Source organism: Homo sapiens, chromosome 8, assembly GCF_000001405.40.
Source record: "Homo sapiens chromosome 8, GRCh38.p14 Primary Assembly".
Lineage (NCBI taxonomy): Eukaryota > Metazoa > Chordata > Mammalia > Primates > Hominidae > Homo > Homo sapiens.
Genome location: NC_000008.11, coordinates 36,803,522 through 36,818,813, shown reverse-complemented (window position 1 = coordinate 36,818,813; position 15,292 = coordinate 36,803,522). Strand labels below are relative to the sequence as shown.

The 15,292-nt window shown below is 37.7% G+C and overlaps 1 protein-coding gene across 8 annotated transcripts in view; it reads right to left on the bottom strand.

The window, feature by feature from the left end:
- Positions 1-15,292, bottom strand: part of KCNU1 (potassium calcium-activated channel subfamily U member 1) — a 151,752-nt gene that overhangs the window by 117,312 nt on the left and 19,148 nt on the right. For all 8 annotated transcript variants that reach the window (NR_134267.2, XR_001745486.3, NM_001031836.3 and 5 more), the window contains exons 3-10: positions 14,726-14,787; positions 13,529-13,619; positions 12,434-12,545; positions 11,364-11,439; positions 10,021-10,096; positions 4,437-4,607; positions 3,127-3,218; positions 1,054-1,164 (exon numbers count right to left, since the gene is read on the bottom strand). Coding sequence is in view for 6 of the 8 variants with exons in the window: in NM_001031836.3 (NP_001027006.2) it covers positions 1,054-1,164; positions 3,127-3,218; positions 4,437-4,607; positions 10,021-10,096; positions 11,364-11,439; positions 12,434-12,545; positions 13,529-13,619; positions 14,726-14,787 (791 nt within the window). In the remaining 2 variants the exon portion in view is untranslated. The remainder of the gene's footprint in view (positions 1-1,053; positions 1,165-3,126; positions 3,219-4,436; positions 4,608-10,020; positions 10,097-11,363; positions 11,440-12,433; positions 12,546-13,528; positions 13,620-14,725; positions 14,788-15,292) is intronic.

The following is a 15,292-nucleotide window of genomic DNA, read 5'->3' as shown; positions in this document are numbered from 1 at the left end:
TATTCCATACATGAGGGCCCAAATTTATGGTGAATTGAACATGTCATAATGCAAAAGTAGAGTGCTCAACTACACAGTGCCAGAAGATGGAGGCGATGCTACATACAATCCTACGTAAGATCAAAATGTCATTTCAAAATCTGGCTGACTTATTTAGTGAATGATATTTGGGTAACCGATGAATCATTTGAGAAAAGTAAAGAAGTTAATTCTCTACACATCAGGCAAAAGCAATTCCATGGATCTTAAACACTAAAAGAATGAGCTGACTGGAGTGCATGCAAATCAAACACTTCTGTATGAAAATAAAAGCACGAAAAAAATTAAAAGGTGAAGTTGGAAGAAAAACATGTATAACATATAACAGGAAATGGCTAGTAACAACATATATTGAGTAGAAAAGTCAATAAAGCAACAGGTAATCCACTTAATAGGAGAGGATGAAAGAAAGAAAGAAAGAGAAATTTCAAAGAGAAAAGCCAACAGTCAAAACATAGAAAATTAGTCAATCTTACCAAATTGAAAATTACAAAATTAAAATATAAGAAATCATTTTGTGTACCTAAGCTATACTTAAAATCCTTCTGTACTAAATATGTATTTCCTAGTGCTTGACAAAATATTTGACTTAGGCTCTGCTAGTGGAAAGATAGACTGCACAGAACAACAACAGCATCAAGAACAATCATTTCTGTATTGATTTGAACTTCACATTTCTAATTCTGAGAATTAACAGAATAATAATTATAAAGTGCACCAGGCTTTTGCATAAGATTATAGTCATGTATGATAATAACGTGTAGAGTAACCTAAATGCCAAATGATAATCACTTAAATCATATTAGTACCTATGCAGAAAAACATCTGACAAGATATATTCCAAAATATTTGCAGAGATTAGCTTGGTCAAAGATTTCTTTTCTTTTTTGTTTTGTTTATGATCAATACCTACTTTTTCTATAAATATTGTGAAGGTAATTTTCTTGCATTAAAAATATTCACACGTATTTTAAGTATTAATTTAGAACCCATGAGCCATACAGATATACTTACTCTCCCAGGAAAACAATTTCAGTGTTGATCTCTCCTGACTTGTCGCGGAGGAAATTCCTCAGGAAAGCGGTCACACTGTCCACAGTGATGTTTCCACAGACCACAATAAACCTAGGCAGCAAAAACAGGTGAGGTGGATCATCCGAGGCACATAAGCACCTTCCTGTCAGCATTTAGAGATAAATAATTGGCTTAAACTTAGTTTCCAATAAATATGGTATTTGCATCACCCAGATTTTTTTTTTTTTTTTTTTTTTTTTTGAGATGGAGTTTTGCTCTTGCTGCCCAGGCTGGAGTGCAATGGTGTGATCTCAGCTCACTGCAACATCTGCCTCCTGGGTTTAAATGATTCTCCTGCCTCAGCCTCCCAAGTAGCTGGGATTAAAGGCATGCGCCACCACGCCCAGCTAATTTTGTATTTTTTTAGTAGATGGGATTTCTCCATGTTGGTCAGGCTGGTCTTGAACTCCCGACCTCAGGTGATCCGCCCACCTCAGCCTCCCAAAATGCTGGGATTACAGGCACGAGCCACTGTGCCTGGCCTGCATCACCCAGATTTTAAACATTGAAACACTAAGGACTGCATTTCTAATACAAAAGAAGCATCAGATATCCACAGTCTTCTATCTCATCTCAAGTAGAATATGAAGCCAAACATTTAAATTGCACCCAGCTTTTTAAGAGTACAAGAGCAACTATTACTATTGCTAGATTTTTCACATTTATTTATAACTTATAATAGATTTTTAACTTATTTTTTCACTTAATTCCTAGTTGTCTGAGAGAGGGTTTTTTGTTGTTGTTGTTGTTGTTGTTTGTTTTTTTCTTGAGGAGCAGAAAAGTTCATCAATTTTTCCATTTCTCACCCAAATATCATGGCTGAGAAAGCACCACATTCCAGATTGTTTCAGCTTATCTTCCACATTTACGAATATCTAGTAGTTACAAAAACATGAGCCCAGTGGAGGGACATTGAAGACAGGTGCAGAACTCTATGCATATAGTTTTTGTCATGAAAAATTTTCTTACGTTTAACGCATTTAAAGGAGCTATTTTCCTCCTATTAGCCATTGAAGAAAACTGAAAACATAATTTTAGCCTAAGTTAACATTAAAGTTCCCAGACCTATTGACTGATTTAGTATGTGCCCCATAGGCCTTTCCTGAGACAAATGAGGCCAGATTTTGGCTTATCTAGTTAAATTCACTGCTTCTCATTATTTATCTTTTGTTCATTTCATCATATTTTTCCTTTCCTCTTCATAGTCCCAGGTCAATTAAAGTTTTCATCCAACTGTATTAAGAGACTGCTTTCAGGGAGCCTATCTCCATTATGCCTCTTTCATTACAGCAGACAGGGATTAAGTTTTTAAAAGGATCACATCTAATTTAAGATCTCCATTTCATTCTTTTTGTCTTAGATGGGAAAAAAAAACCTAATGGAAGCTAAGGTAACATGAATCCAAGAAGAAATAATATAAAAACAACTCCACTCCATTTTCCTCCTGGGAACACATGGCTGTGGCAAGGAAAAAAAATCAGTCATCTAGGAGGCGCTATAGAAGACAGGGTAGAAACTTCTCATGCTGGCAAATCCTCATCCGTAAATGAGCCCCCGATGGTTTAGGGGAGCTTTGGCTAAGACAACTGAACTAAATTATTTTAAATTGGAATCATGGCTTTAATCCGATCCATTATGTAAAGTTAGCCATAAGTTACCCATACAAGGAAAATGAGTAAGACAATTGGTAATGGCTATAGGAGAAGTTAGTGGAAAGGAATGTACAAATAGTGCCATAATCAGTAATATTTATTGACAGTGAATTACAACATTATCTGTCATTTTAGTTGATTTAGTTTTCTTATGAGCATCTATGTAGTGGTTTGGGTCAAGTAGCAAATATCATTTTCTTACGGTATTTAGTTTAGCACAGTCCTTTTTAGTGAATACGGGATGTTGCTGATATATTCACCTTGGGTTCTACAGCTAAGCCAGACAATAGATGTCTAGAACGAGATATATGGCTAATAGAATTTCTTAAACTGTAGAAATTATACTTAAAACACTACTTACTTCTTTCCTTTGAGTGCTTCATAGGAACTGGTGTATTTCCTCTTGTTAGCAAACAGTTCCACCATTTCAGGTATATAGTTCGCAAATAATATCTAAAATTGATCAGCAAAATAAAACCTTAGTTCTCATTATTTTGATGGATACTCCAAAAATTTCAAGATTAGAAAGGAAAAGGAGGGTACATAAAACTTTCTGTCATCTAAGAGCACATGATAGCATGTTAAAGGGACCTCGTTTTTCTTCCTTATTTCAGCCTTTGAATTTTGTTAAAATTTAATATAAGGCTTTTCTGTATTCAAAATGATGAAAGCAAAGGACAGCAGCAAGGTGATTTCCCCACATGTCTTATCCTTTCATCACTTTTGTTTTTGTTTTTGTTTTTGAGACAGAGTCTCTGTCTGTCTCCCGGGCTGGGGTGCAACCTCTGCCTCCAGGTTCAAGGGATTCTCCTGCCTCAGCCTCCCAAGTGGCTGGGACTACAGGTGCCTGCCACCATGCCTGACTGATTTTTATATTTTTAGTAGAGATGGAATGCCTCCATGTTGGCCAGGCTGGTCTCGAACTCCTGACCTCAGGTAATCCGCCTGCCTTGGCCTCACAAAATGCTGGGATTGCAGGCCTGAGCAACTGTGCCTGGCCCTCTTTTTATCGCTTCTAACTTCCCGTCTCACTCTGACTTTATTCTATTTGGGGCTTGGAAAAATGAAAGCATATGGGACAGAGGAGGGTTAAGAGACAATGACTGAAAAAAAGGGATGTGAGACCGTGGATGGGTAGATATCAAAAAAGTGGAGTGGAGAACTCTGTTGTGGTTTTTAAGGAATTGAAATGAAAGTCACTAAAAGAAAAGAAGGCTTTTGCCTTTGCTACATTCGTAAGCCAGGCACAGATGTTCATATCTCTAAAGTTAAATGCTGTTTTAGTGAAAGGTTACTCATTTGAGCTGGGAGGAATGGAATTTTCTTCAGATCAAATCTCAAATATCCTTCCTCTTTAGAAGAAAGACTTTAAGTTGATGGGCAAACTATGAAGGAAGATAGGTTTTCTCAAATCAATGTAGAGCTTAATAAGGAAAGTCTGCTTCCTTTGCCTACTATCCTTCATCCCTGGAAACCAAGCAATTTTATCCTGAGCTCCAGGGGATGCAGTTTGGAAAACATGGGATCTGTGCATGTTTTCATTTGCCCTTGACATGTGCCCCAAGTAATGCAACATTCACTCTTAAACCTATATTGTTTCATTGATTACCATTAACCAAATATTTCTGGTTTATGTAGCTATATTCAAAATATATTAAAAATATTCTTCACCAAACTCCCCAGTGTGAAGAACATGATGAAGGTCCGTCCTAAGGATGTCTTGGCTACCACATCTCCAAATCCAACGGTTGACGTTGTTGCCATGACCAGGTAAATTGACTCAAAATATGATATATTCTGTGAATTTCTACCTTTGAGCCAGGGATCACCAGAATTTTCCACCTGTCCAAAGAGAGAAGACTCAGGAAACATCTGAATAGAATCCAAGAGAAGATTTTTAAAGAATAGGCAAAACATTAGATTAATTGCACTTCATTCAATCCAAATGAAATACCAAATGGCTTTCAGGTTGCTATGAAGAGTTTACATAAATGGAAGAGTTTGTAAATCATGGGTAGTGAGTGTAAAGTCTTGGTTTCCTTAATCGTGATCATTGCCGAAATCTGAGGGGGCTTGTAGCTGCAGCACAGCATTTGAAAAGCTCCACCGGGGACAGATGCCTCTGGGCTCTCTTTTCAAGTGGGCACAAGCATTGCATCCTGGAGCCAGGGTACTCCAAAGGCCTCAGACTGAGCAATTATGACATATTCTCACTTTTTAACTAGATTAGGATTATCATTAAGGAAAGAAGCACTTAAATGAGCACTTCATTTCAGTGAGCTTAAGCACATAGAATGCTAGTGTCTACAGAAAAACAAACCAATTTTCCAAGTTATTTTCCTCTTTGCACAATCGTCTTTTCAGTGATTTTTTTTTTAAAAAAACCTTTAAAAATATTTTCCTCTGATTTTTTCTTTGAGTCTTCACCTTTCAAGAAAACTAGATTTATCAGATTTTTAATATTAGATAAATGAGGTAACTTAGACATTTATATCATATATAAATTTTTTATAAATATATGTAAAATATTGTGTAACATAATATATTATATATAACATACATTTATACATGTATAGTTTATAATAAAATATTTATTTCTTTGTTTTTTCTTTTAGACCTTTTTTTCTCCTCAGCTCACATATTTTCTAGATGTTTTCCATTTCTATTTAGCACAAAAGATGATAAAATCTTAGAGATGTCTGACTGGGGGAAGTGGGCTTTTTGTTTTGTTTTTAAGAACTAGGATGGAAATTAGAAACCATGCAGTTTGCTCAGATATTTGTTCCCTTTTTAAAAGTGATGTGCCAAGTGCTGATCCTTTCTTAAATTTAATGAATAGGTTAAGAGTGTGGACCCCTATAATACTCCACTCCAAAGTAAGAATGGGATTATATGTCTGTTCTTAAGTCTTATGGCTGATAGCGGATACTGTTGCAAAGTCACTGACTTCTGGAGTCTTCACTGTTTTCCAAGACATACATTACAAGAAAACCAAATTTAAGTCACACAGATTTAAATCATTCATATTTACTGGCACGGTTCCCTTTAAGCTAAAATCCCATAGTGTCTTTTACAATGTTGTAGTACAGGGATTCAATATTATCCCTGCACAACATGTACAAAGTAAAACTAAATTTATTTTAAACTGGAGATATCCTTTATAATTTTTTAAAGAACGCTTTAAAATTTAACTCACTGCCCTTATGAGTAATAATTTGGTGTTTCAAATCCCTTTCCACTTTCTCAGTATCTCTTTAGTTTATGGAGGAAGGGAGATGGCAGCCTTCTGTGGGTCCACTTATTCACACTGTTCTTCCTCTTAACCATGTTACATTGACCCATCAGTCCAAGGTGGGAAATATAGTTAAGGTAAAGTATTATGGACTAATGTTAACAGACTGAATCATTATCTATTTTAACTCCATATTTCAAAACTGAATTCTTATTATTTTAAACTTTGTTTCAACTTTAGATAAGATACACTAAGAAGAAAAATATGAGGACACTCTATCTTCTCCCCTTACCTGTCCATCAACATTTATATTAGCTATATTACTTTTATTTGTGCATCTACATTCTAGTCTGTAGTGATAATTACCTTGGTTATGTCTTAGCTCTATTTTTTATCCATTCAGTAATCATTACCACTACTTTTTTTTTTTTTTTTTTTGAGAGGAGTCTTGCTCTGTCACTCAGGCTGGAGTGCAGTGGTATGATCTCAGCCCACTGCAACCTCCACCTCCTGGGCTCAAGCAATTCTCTTGCCTCAGCCTCCTGAGTAGCTGGGATTGCAGGTGCCTGCCACCACACCTGACTAATTTTTCTATTTTTAGTAGAGACAGGTTTTCCCCATGTCGGCTAGGCTGGTCTCGAACTCCCAACCTCGGGAGATCCGCCCCTCCTTGGCCTCCCAAAGTGCTGGGATTACAGGCATGAGCCAAGGGGCCTGACCAAAATATCAGAGTTTTTTTGTTGTTTGTTTTTTGAGATGGATTCTCACTCTGTCACCCAGGCTGGAGTGCAGTGACATGATCTCAGCTCACTGCAACCTCTGCCTCTCGGATTCAAGTGATTCTCCTGCCTCAGCCTCTAGAGTAGCTGGGATTACAGGTGCATGCCACCATGCCCAGCTAATTTTTTTATATTTTTAGTAGAGATGAGGTTTCATTAGCCAGGCTGGTCTCGAACTCCTGCCCTCCAGTGATGCACCTGGCTCAGCCTCCCAAGTAGCTGGGTTTATAGGCACCTGCCATCATGCTCGACTAATTTTTCTATTTTTAGTAGAGATGAGGTTTCGCCATGTTGGCCAGGCTGGTCTCGAACCCCTGACCTCCAATGATGTGCCTCCCCTGGCCTCCCAAAGTGCTGAGATTAAAAGCGTGAGCCACCGTGCCCAGCCACTACCACTACTTCTTACCATGGCTTCCCCATTCTTGAATTCTCTTTACATTAATCTCCTGTGTGGCTGAATTTTATCATTAAGCTATTAATACAGATTCAAAAGAAGCTCACTGGTGCATTTCCCCTTGCATGCTTAAAATGACAGGACAGGTTACACTTTCTTTTATGCAAACTTTATGGACACTGCTGTATCATCTTCTGGTATTGACCAATGTTGTCAAGAAACTTGAAGCTAGTCTCATTGGTTCCCCCCTGTATAGACCCTGTTTTGTTCTGCTTGGATTATCTTTTTTATCCCAGGACGTCCGTAACTGCTCCAATATATGATTAGAATTAATAATTTTGAATTATGTTTCATGGAATACAGTCTATCCTTTAATCTACAGGTTCAACACCTTGTTTTAAAACATCTTTCTGGTGCCATTTATTGTGCTATTTTCTGTAATACCCTAATGATATTTACAGTAGGTTGAATCAATATTGTCCTTTCATGTTTCTTCTTTACAAACATTTGAGTATCTTTATTTTCCATGTCAAGATTTTTGCTCCAGTCCTGTCCACCATGTTTCTGAATGTGATTTTGTCAAATTTGTTACATTTTGCTTCCCTCTAATTTGGTTTTCAGGTCTGTAATACACTTCTTCTTATTTTTCTCTGATATCTTTTGGCCCACTTTCAATTACTTCTATTGTTTAATAATCCCTTGGTTCAAACCGTATAAATATTCTATGAAGGATCATTTCCAGTTTTTCTAAAATCTTATTTTTATTTTTTAAATATAAAGGACATTTTTTCTTAACTTTTCCTTTGTTCCCTTGGGCAAATTATCTTAATTGTTGCTCTCATAACTGTTTTATTTTGTAACTTCTATAATGCTAATGTTTCTCTGCTTTCCAACACACCTTCTTGTTATTTTTAGCAGAATTTAGGCACAGGTGCCATATTGATTCCTTTCTAGTTAATACTCGTCTTTGAATGATATCATCATTTAGCTGAAGGATAGTGTGAGAATGGGAAGATGGTGAGTTAGGGCAACCATAGCTTTTATTTTGGCTTGTCTTTGCAAATATCCCCTCAATAAAATCTGCTATTTTCTTTTCTCTGGGATATAGCTTTTCTAGGTTTTTAATATTCTAGAAACTGGTATGGCTCAAAGTGGCACTGTCTAATTCACACGCCATCTGATTGTTTCTCCTTTTTTCTGTGCTTACTTCCTTGCTGGAGGTCTCCTTTCCTGGGAGACCAGATGTCCAGCAGGGAAACATGCTCACATCCTTAGAGGAGTGGAGCAAGACTATAATGATTTCAAGTAGGCCTGGCAGAGACTGTGTTAAACCCAAGAGCACCTGCTGTACATAGGGAGAAGCTATAGGGAGAAGCTACTTTTTTTTTTTTTTGAGATGGAGTCTTGCTCTGTCACCAGGCTGGAGTGCAGTGGTGCAATCTCAGCTCACTGCAACCTGTCCCTCCCAAGTTCAAGCAATTCTCCTGCCTCAGCCTTCCAAGTAGCTGGAACTACAGACGCATGCCACCACGTCTGGCTAATTTTTGTATTTTTAGTAGAGACAGGATTTCACCATGTTGGCCAGGATGGTCTTGATCTCTCGACCTCGTGATCCGAAGCTATTCTTCAGCTATGGCTGTTGGTGGCCTTGGGAGAGTGGGATTATTAGAACCTTATATTTTCCCAAAGAATTCAGAAATTCTGATTTTTATATGAGCTCTTCATAAAAGTCAGCGAGTGACAAAAAATAGCAAACAAAAAGTGAAAACATAATTAGGTCAAATATAGTAATATGCTTGTAGGCCACATTAAGCCTTTGAGCCCCTCATTGAAACAGCTATTAAAGGAAAAAGAAAAAAAAGTCCTAATGACTTTTCCTTTAGCATCCTGTGGTGGCCACGAGGTTTCTACAGGGACACTAATGTCTGCTTATCCCCTGGTGGGCCCAGGACTCTAAGGTTCAATTCTCTAAATCTAGGAATCAGCCTTTACTGCTGTGACACTTCAGGAAAATCTCTCTCCTTCCTGAGTGCTGAGGAGGATGTAGAGAGCTTCAGATTTCTTGAAGGTTCATATCCTTGTTTGCATTTGACATTTTTCTTGTTGAATTGAACAATGGTAACTTTTTAATGGATTTTTAAATTGTTATTGTTTTATATTAATTTTGAGAGAAGGGCTCAGATAAAAAAGACCTGTTATGCATTCTGTTTTGTTTATCTCAAAGGCTTTTGCGGGCTTTTAACATCTCCCATCAATTTCTGTATTTGCTAATGACTGCTCTTCAACTGTCCTCAAGAAGTAAAGTCCAGGAGTTCCTTTCCTATAGCTGAGATCCATTTCCTAGATTTCTCATTATGTGGGATAAGAACCAGACTTTCCTACAGGCAAAGGAGGCAGCTAGGTGTACAGATTGATTTCAGGAGGATCAAGAAAGCCCCCAAACTCCCCTTTGCAACAGTAAATCCTCCCTCATAAGTCTCCAGCATTTATAAGTCTGAAATCCTGTAACTGGCTTCATTTCCTTCACTTTTTAATCTTTTTTTAATGCTAGAACCCTTATAAGATATAGTGATACATTTTACCTATTGCTGATACCTTTGGAGCTTACTAGGTCTTTCCTTAAGAGTAGGTTTTGAAAGTTGGAAGAGGGAACAGAGACACCTTGATTGTAGGAGATGCATATTTGTGAGAATATGAGGGTAAAGAAAACCTGAAAATGGGAAGTAGAAAGACACACCTCCAACTGGCTTACAGTGATGGAGACAGGGGCTCAGCAGGTTCCCTTCCATTTTTCAAAAAATGGATGCTGGTAACAACAGACACCACTAGGGATTGTGATGAGATGCTTACCAGGTGAATGAATCCCGCAGCTGTGAACCAGGTACTGAGAATTATTGACAGCAGTTTGGAAAACTTCACTGAGTTACTAGAGGAAGAGAGACAAAGAGCTGTTGGGTCTAACAGATTCCAGAACAACACAAACACCTCATCCTCTAAGATGTTGCTACACAAAGTGTGGCTCATGGACCAGAAGGAACGGCATTACCCGAAAACATATTCGAAATGCAGCATCCCAGTCCCTGCCCCGATCTCCCAATCTGCATTGGTACAAGATTCTCTGCTTGATTCATATACACATTAGAGGTTGAGAAACACAGCTCTGAAACTCGCCCAGTCACATATACTTGTTTGGGAAGTTTGACTTTTGCTGCGATATCCACTAGCCTCATATCACTTTTTAAAATATCTACATGTGGATCATAGAGATTGTTATATTGTCCGATATAATAATATACAATTCATTATGCTAGGAATCCAAGGGGTAGAAATCCAGGGAGCAGATTTGCAAAATAAAATTCTGAACAGAACACAAAAATATAAAGTCACACAGACTGCTGGACTGATAACAAGGTCTTTAAGTGAAGAAAGATCAGAGGGGCCCTTGTCACCTAAGGAGAGCCCTAGAGCTTAGCTGAGATCTCTCTGGTTTTCAGGCAGGACCACCCGTCACACAGGACCAGGCTTTCCTCCTCCAGCTTCTCCATAATTCATAAACACGTAGCAGTGAAATCCACCTGGCCTCTAATATTTGATGCTTCTAGTTTGACTGTCAAGGCATGGAGATTTTGACTGGGTAACAGACCAAACTGCTCAAAATTTTACAAGTATTGCTGCTCAAAGCTAGTTTGGATTGTGTTCTTATTGTCTGGAAATACTTAGGTGGCTATATTTCTGCAAGCAATAGTTCACTGCTTGCTGCTGCTGGGTAATGTATGCTTCGAGGAATTGTCTTACATTCCAATGCCTGAAGAAGTGTTTCTTTTTTTTTTACCTAGCCAGGAGAGACATGAGTTACTAAAGCAAATATATAGAACCAATGCCTCTGAATTGCTTTGACTTTTTTTTTTTTTTTTGGTGGAGGGACCTAGAATTAAAACCTAAATAAACTTATACACCATAGCTTAAAAAACAAAGACTAAACCAGCTCTTTAAAATGATTGCAAAGTTTTCAGCTAGTGTAAGATGTAATATAATGGGAGAATGTGAACAAATAATATTTTGGCAGCTGAGAGATTTCATGATCTTTGCACTGAAATTCTGATAAGAAATGCATTGAGTTTAGGGTCCAGTTAATACATTCATTTTCTAATCCAAACTAATAAGTAAGCAGTACTTCGGTCAGGGCTATTTACCTGGTCTTGATGGCTCGTAGAATTTGCAAGATTTGAGGGAGTTCTAGCAGGCGCAAGGCTCTTAGGAACCTTAAACCTACAAACCAATGGAAAGGAGAAAGCTGCCAAAATCAGAGGGTCACTCCAGAGGGAGCCTACGTTATAACAGCATTGGAATCACTTACATTCTTTTTCTTCTAGACGTGTTCCAAATCTATTCTCATGTTATAGGCTTAACAGCATAAGCTGTAGTTCAAATACTAGCCCTGACGCTGTTGTAACCTAAGGCAATCCCCTCGCCTTCTCTAGTTCCTTATCTGTAAGATGGGAATGTAAAATGTAAAATGGTACTATTATAATAGTACCAACCTCACAGAGTTGTAGCATCCATATCAAGCATGTAGAAGCATGCCTCACATATTATGGGGACTATTCATTTTACTCTATTTAACTCTTCTTTAGAACGGAGAGCAAAATTTCCCTTAACTACTTAAACTCCTGACTATACAATCTCTATGATATGCTTCACAATGTTTGTATGATGTTTTACTTTAGGTGGTATGATAATAACATTAGCAAGGAATGGAATTCATATTTATTTTATAGATAATAAATCATACAATAAAATTACACGAAACTGATAAAAGCTACATAATGTCCATGCACTGTCAACACATTCACCTTAAAGACAAAACAACTAATTAAATAATTATCTAAAATGCCATAGCACATATGGAGATGATGATTAGCTTTTAATGACAAAGGGAGGTTTTTCATCTCCCCCAGCTCCTGTGGGATCCCAGCATAAAGGTGCTACCAGGGGAATGAGATATTGGAGTCTTGCCTCTCACATTACAAATGCAGTCAATTCTATCAACAACTATTGAACACCTACTGTGTGCCTGCTGCATTGCTAAGTGTTAAAGTCAAAAGGTTTCTGCAAGTGTATGACAAAACCATACTATTAAGGTGAGAGGTTTTTAAAATGACAGTCAGGCATTAAGAACAAATGAAAAATAGATACTTACAAATGAATGTTGAGTTTTTATTTTATTCATAGATATTGCTACCCGTTCCCAGAGCACACTTACCTAGCCAATTGCTCTTCAAATAATAAGAAATAAAGGTTGGTGGGATGGTAAAGATGTCTACGATTGAATTCATCTCCAGCCAGAACTTGATCTTGTCATCAGCTGCCATAAACTATGAAATAGAAACAGAATAACACAAATTCTGTTACCCTCAAGAATTTTAAGTGAACACTAGATAGCATTATTCAGCTGCATTTTACTTATCAGCTGAAGCCTTGATCTCCTTCTATTTTACATATACACAGACACATATATTTATATGCTATGTGGATGCTTTGGGAGGCCAAGGCAGGCAGATAGCTTGAGGTCAGGAGTTTGAGACCAGCCTGACCAATATGGCGAAACCCCATCTCTACCAAAAATATAAAGATTAGCTGCACGTGGTTGCAGCTGCCTGTAATCCCAGCTACCCAGGAGGCCGAAGCAGGAGAACCACTGGAACCTGGGAGGTAGAGGTTGCAGTGAGCCAAGAACGCTTCACTGTACTGCAGCCTAGGTGACAAAGCAAGACCATGTCTAAAAAAAATAAGATGTTTTTATATATAGCATGCCTATATATACATACATATATGTGTATATTTTATATACACACATTAGTCTCCCACAAACAAGAAATGAAGAGATTGAAATCTAGATCTAGAACAGGTCTTAATAAATACCTCTAAAGTGAGAGAAATATTTAACAAATGAGTGTAACAAAATGAAACAAAGATACAAAGTTATTTTCCACAGTTGTATTGCAGGCATGCCACCAGTGGAGCTAAGGACATCTCCAGAGACTTGCTACTCAAGTTCTGCTCGCTTGTCATTATTAGTAAAGATGGGAAGCCAGTAAGGAGGCCATGGGAACACGATGATGGCATTTAACAAAAGAATTACTTTCGTGTTGTGTTGGAACTTTTAACCTGGTTTAGCGTTTCACGTGCAGGAGAGAGAGTTTTTAGGGATCAGTATATATTTAACAAGTTAGGGCACAGATTAGCTATCTTTAGAGTTGAAAACTCGGGCAGATTGTAGGACTGAGACACAGTTAGTTCTCTGTATGTTGTGCCTGTGGTGTTTGGATATTCACTCCCACTTTCAATAGGTACTTACCCTCAATCCAAAATAGAAACTAAAGAAAGCATTGAAAACCAAATCAATAGGAATGGTTTTGTCTTCATATGATGAACAGCTTCCAACAGGGCTGGAAAAGAAAGAAGGACAGTTTGTGAAGATCAACATTTTTAAAGTGGTGTCTATATAAGACCAACTAAAGGGAAAGAATAGGAAAATTTTTCTTTATTCACCATGAATCCAGACACTTAAGTTAAGATCTCAAGGAAATTAACTTTTCTCTTGGGAGTAGAGGAATGCATGAACAAAACCAGTGGACTGCCAATAGCACTGGAAATAAGAGGAAAATTACCCATAATTTGTTTTGTAGGATGTATTGGTTCTATTTCCATTTTAACAATGGGGATTCAGAGCCAGAGAGATGATGAGGCTCTTCTTGGTTTGCAAGATCATCTATCTAGTCAGTATATTTTGAATTAATTCTCTTCTGATACAGAGATACTCTAGATCAAATGGATTGATCTGAACCAATTTCAAAGAAAATCTCCTAAAAGATCTCTTAGGAATTCACAATGCAAAGACAACCAGTTTCCCTAGGTTCTCTAAAGTTGCTTGGCTTTCTGTGGCCCTGCAATCCCAATTCCATTTTAGCTAGAAATCCAATATAATTCCCAAGTGATTGACATGGAATTCAGATTAGATTGGGCTTTGTCCAAAATAGCTGCCCTAACCCTGAAAAATAAGGAGGGGATGCTTTCAGAGGACAGCAGGCAACAATTTGCTTCTTTGTCACAGGTGAGGGCTGGCATTTTCCTTTCTCAATACCATCCGAAGTTGCTTGAAACCTATGAGAAACCCTGAAACTACGACAGCGTTTCTGCTCCAAATCTAAGGAAACCAAAGACATATAAAACCTTCATGAGTGGCCTAAGTGAGGGAAAGAAAGCTGAAGGCTGGTGTCCCAGAGACTCCAGAGTAAATCTCGGGTGGGGGTTGCAGACCACCCTGACCCCTAGCAGTGGAAAGTGGCAGGATACAAGGAAACTCTTGTATATTTTGCAGAGCTGGGCTTAGTGCTTACTGGGAGAAGCCAAACATATCACTTTTTATGAGTTTGTGTGTGTGCGTGCATGTGTGTGTGAAAGTATATTAAGCATTATTCCTGAGGAGAAAATTCCAAATTAGCCGAGCAATGTACTGATATAGCAGACAAGTGTGACTGGACATTGTACTCACTCAGCAGAATTGATGAAATAGATTATAAGAGACCCAATGCTTAGTACAAAGACAAGGATCACCTGAAAATGAAAAACAGGGACAAATGTCTAAATCCACTTCATTTGCATTAAATAAATCGACAAAAGTGTGTTTTCTCTTTTTACCATGCCTGTGTACGTGTAGCCATTTATTCACATATTCACTTATGTTAGTATTCATTCATTCATTCATCTGTTTATCGATTCAAGGTCCAACTTGATTGGACCTTTTCTGAGTATTAAAAAAATGAATATGTACCCATTTTACTTATCTAATTTTAACTTGCGCACACTTCAGAATACACAGTTTGTCCTTCCTGCTGCTTCTAGAGGCTTTTAATCTTTGATCTCAAGATGTCCTTTCCTGTGATCACTTATTCACTCATCAAACATCTATTAAGTGCTTAATAGGCTTTATGCAATTTATCACATGCTAGAAAAGAAGGGGTTATTGGAAATAGACCCTGGATTTGAATTGTTGGTTATATTATAGAAAAAATTCCAGACATGTGTTCCCTAAAGGATAGCCAGAATTTTCACAGTAGGG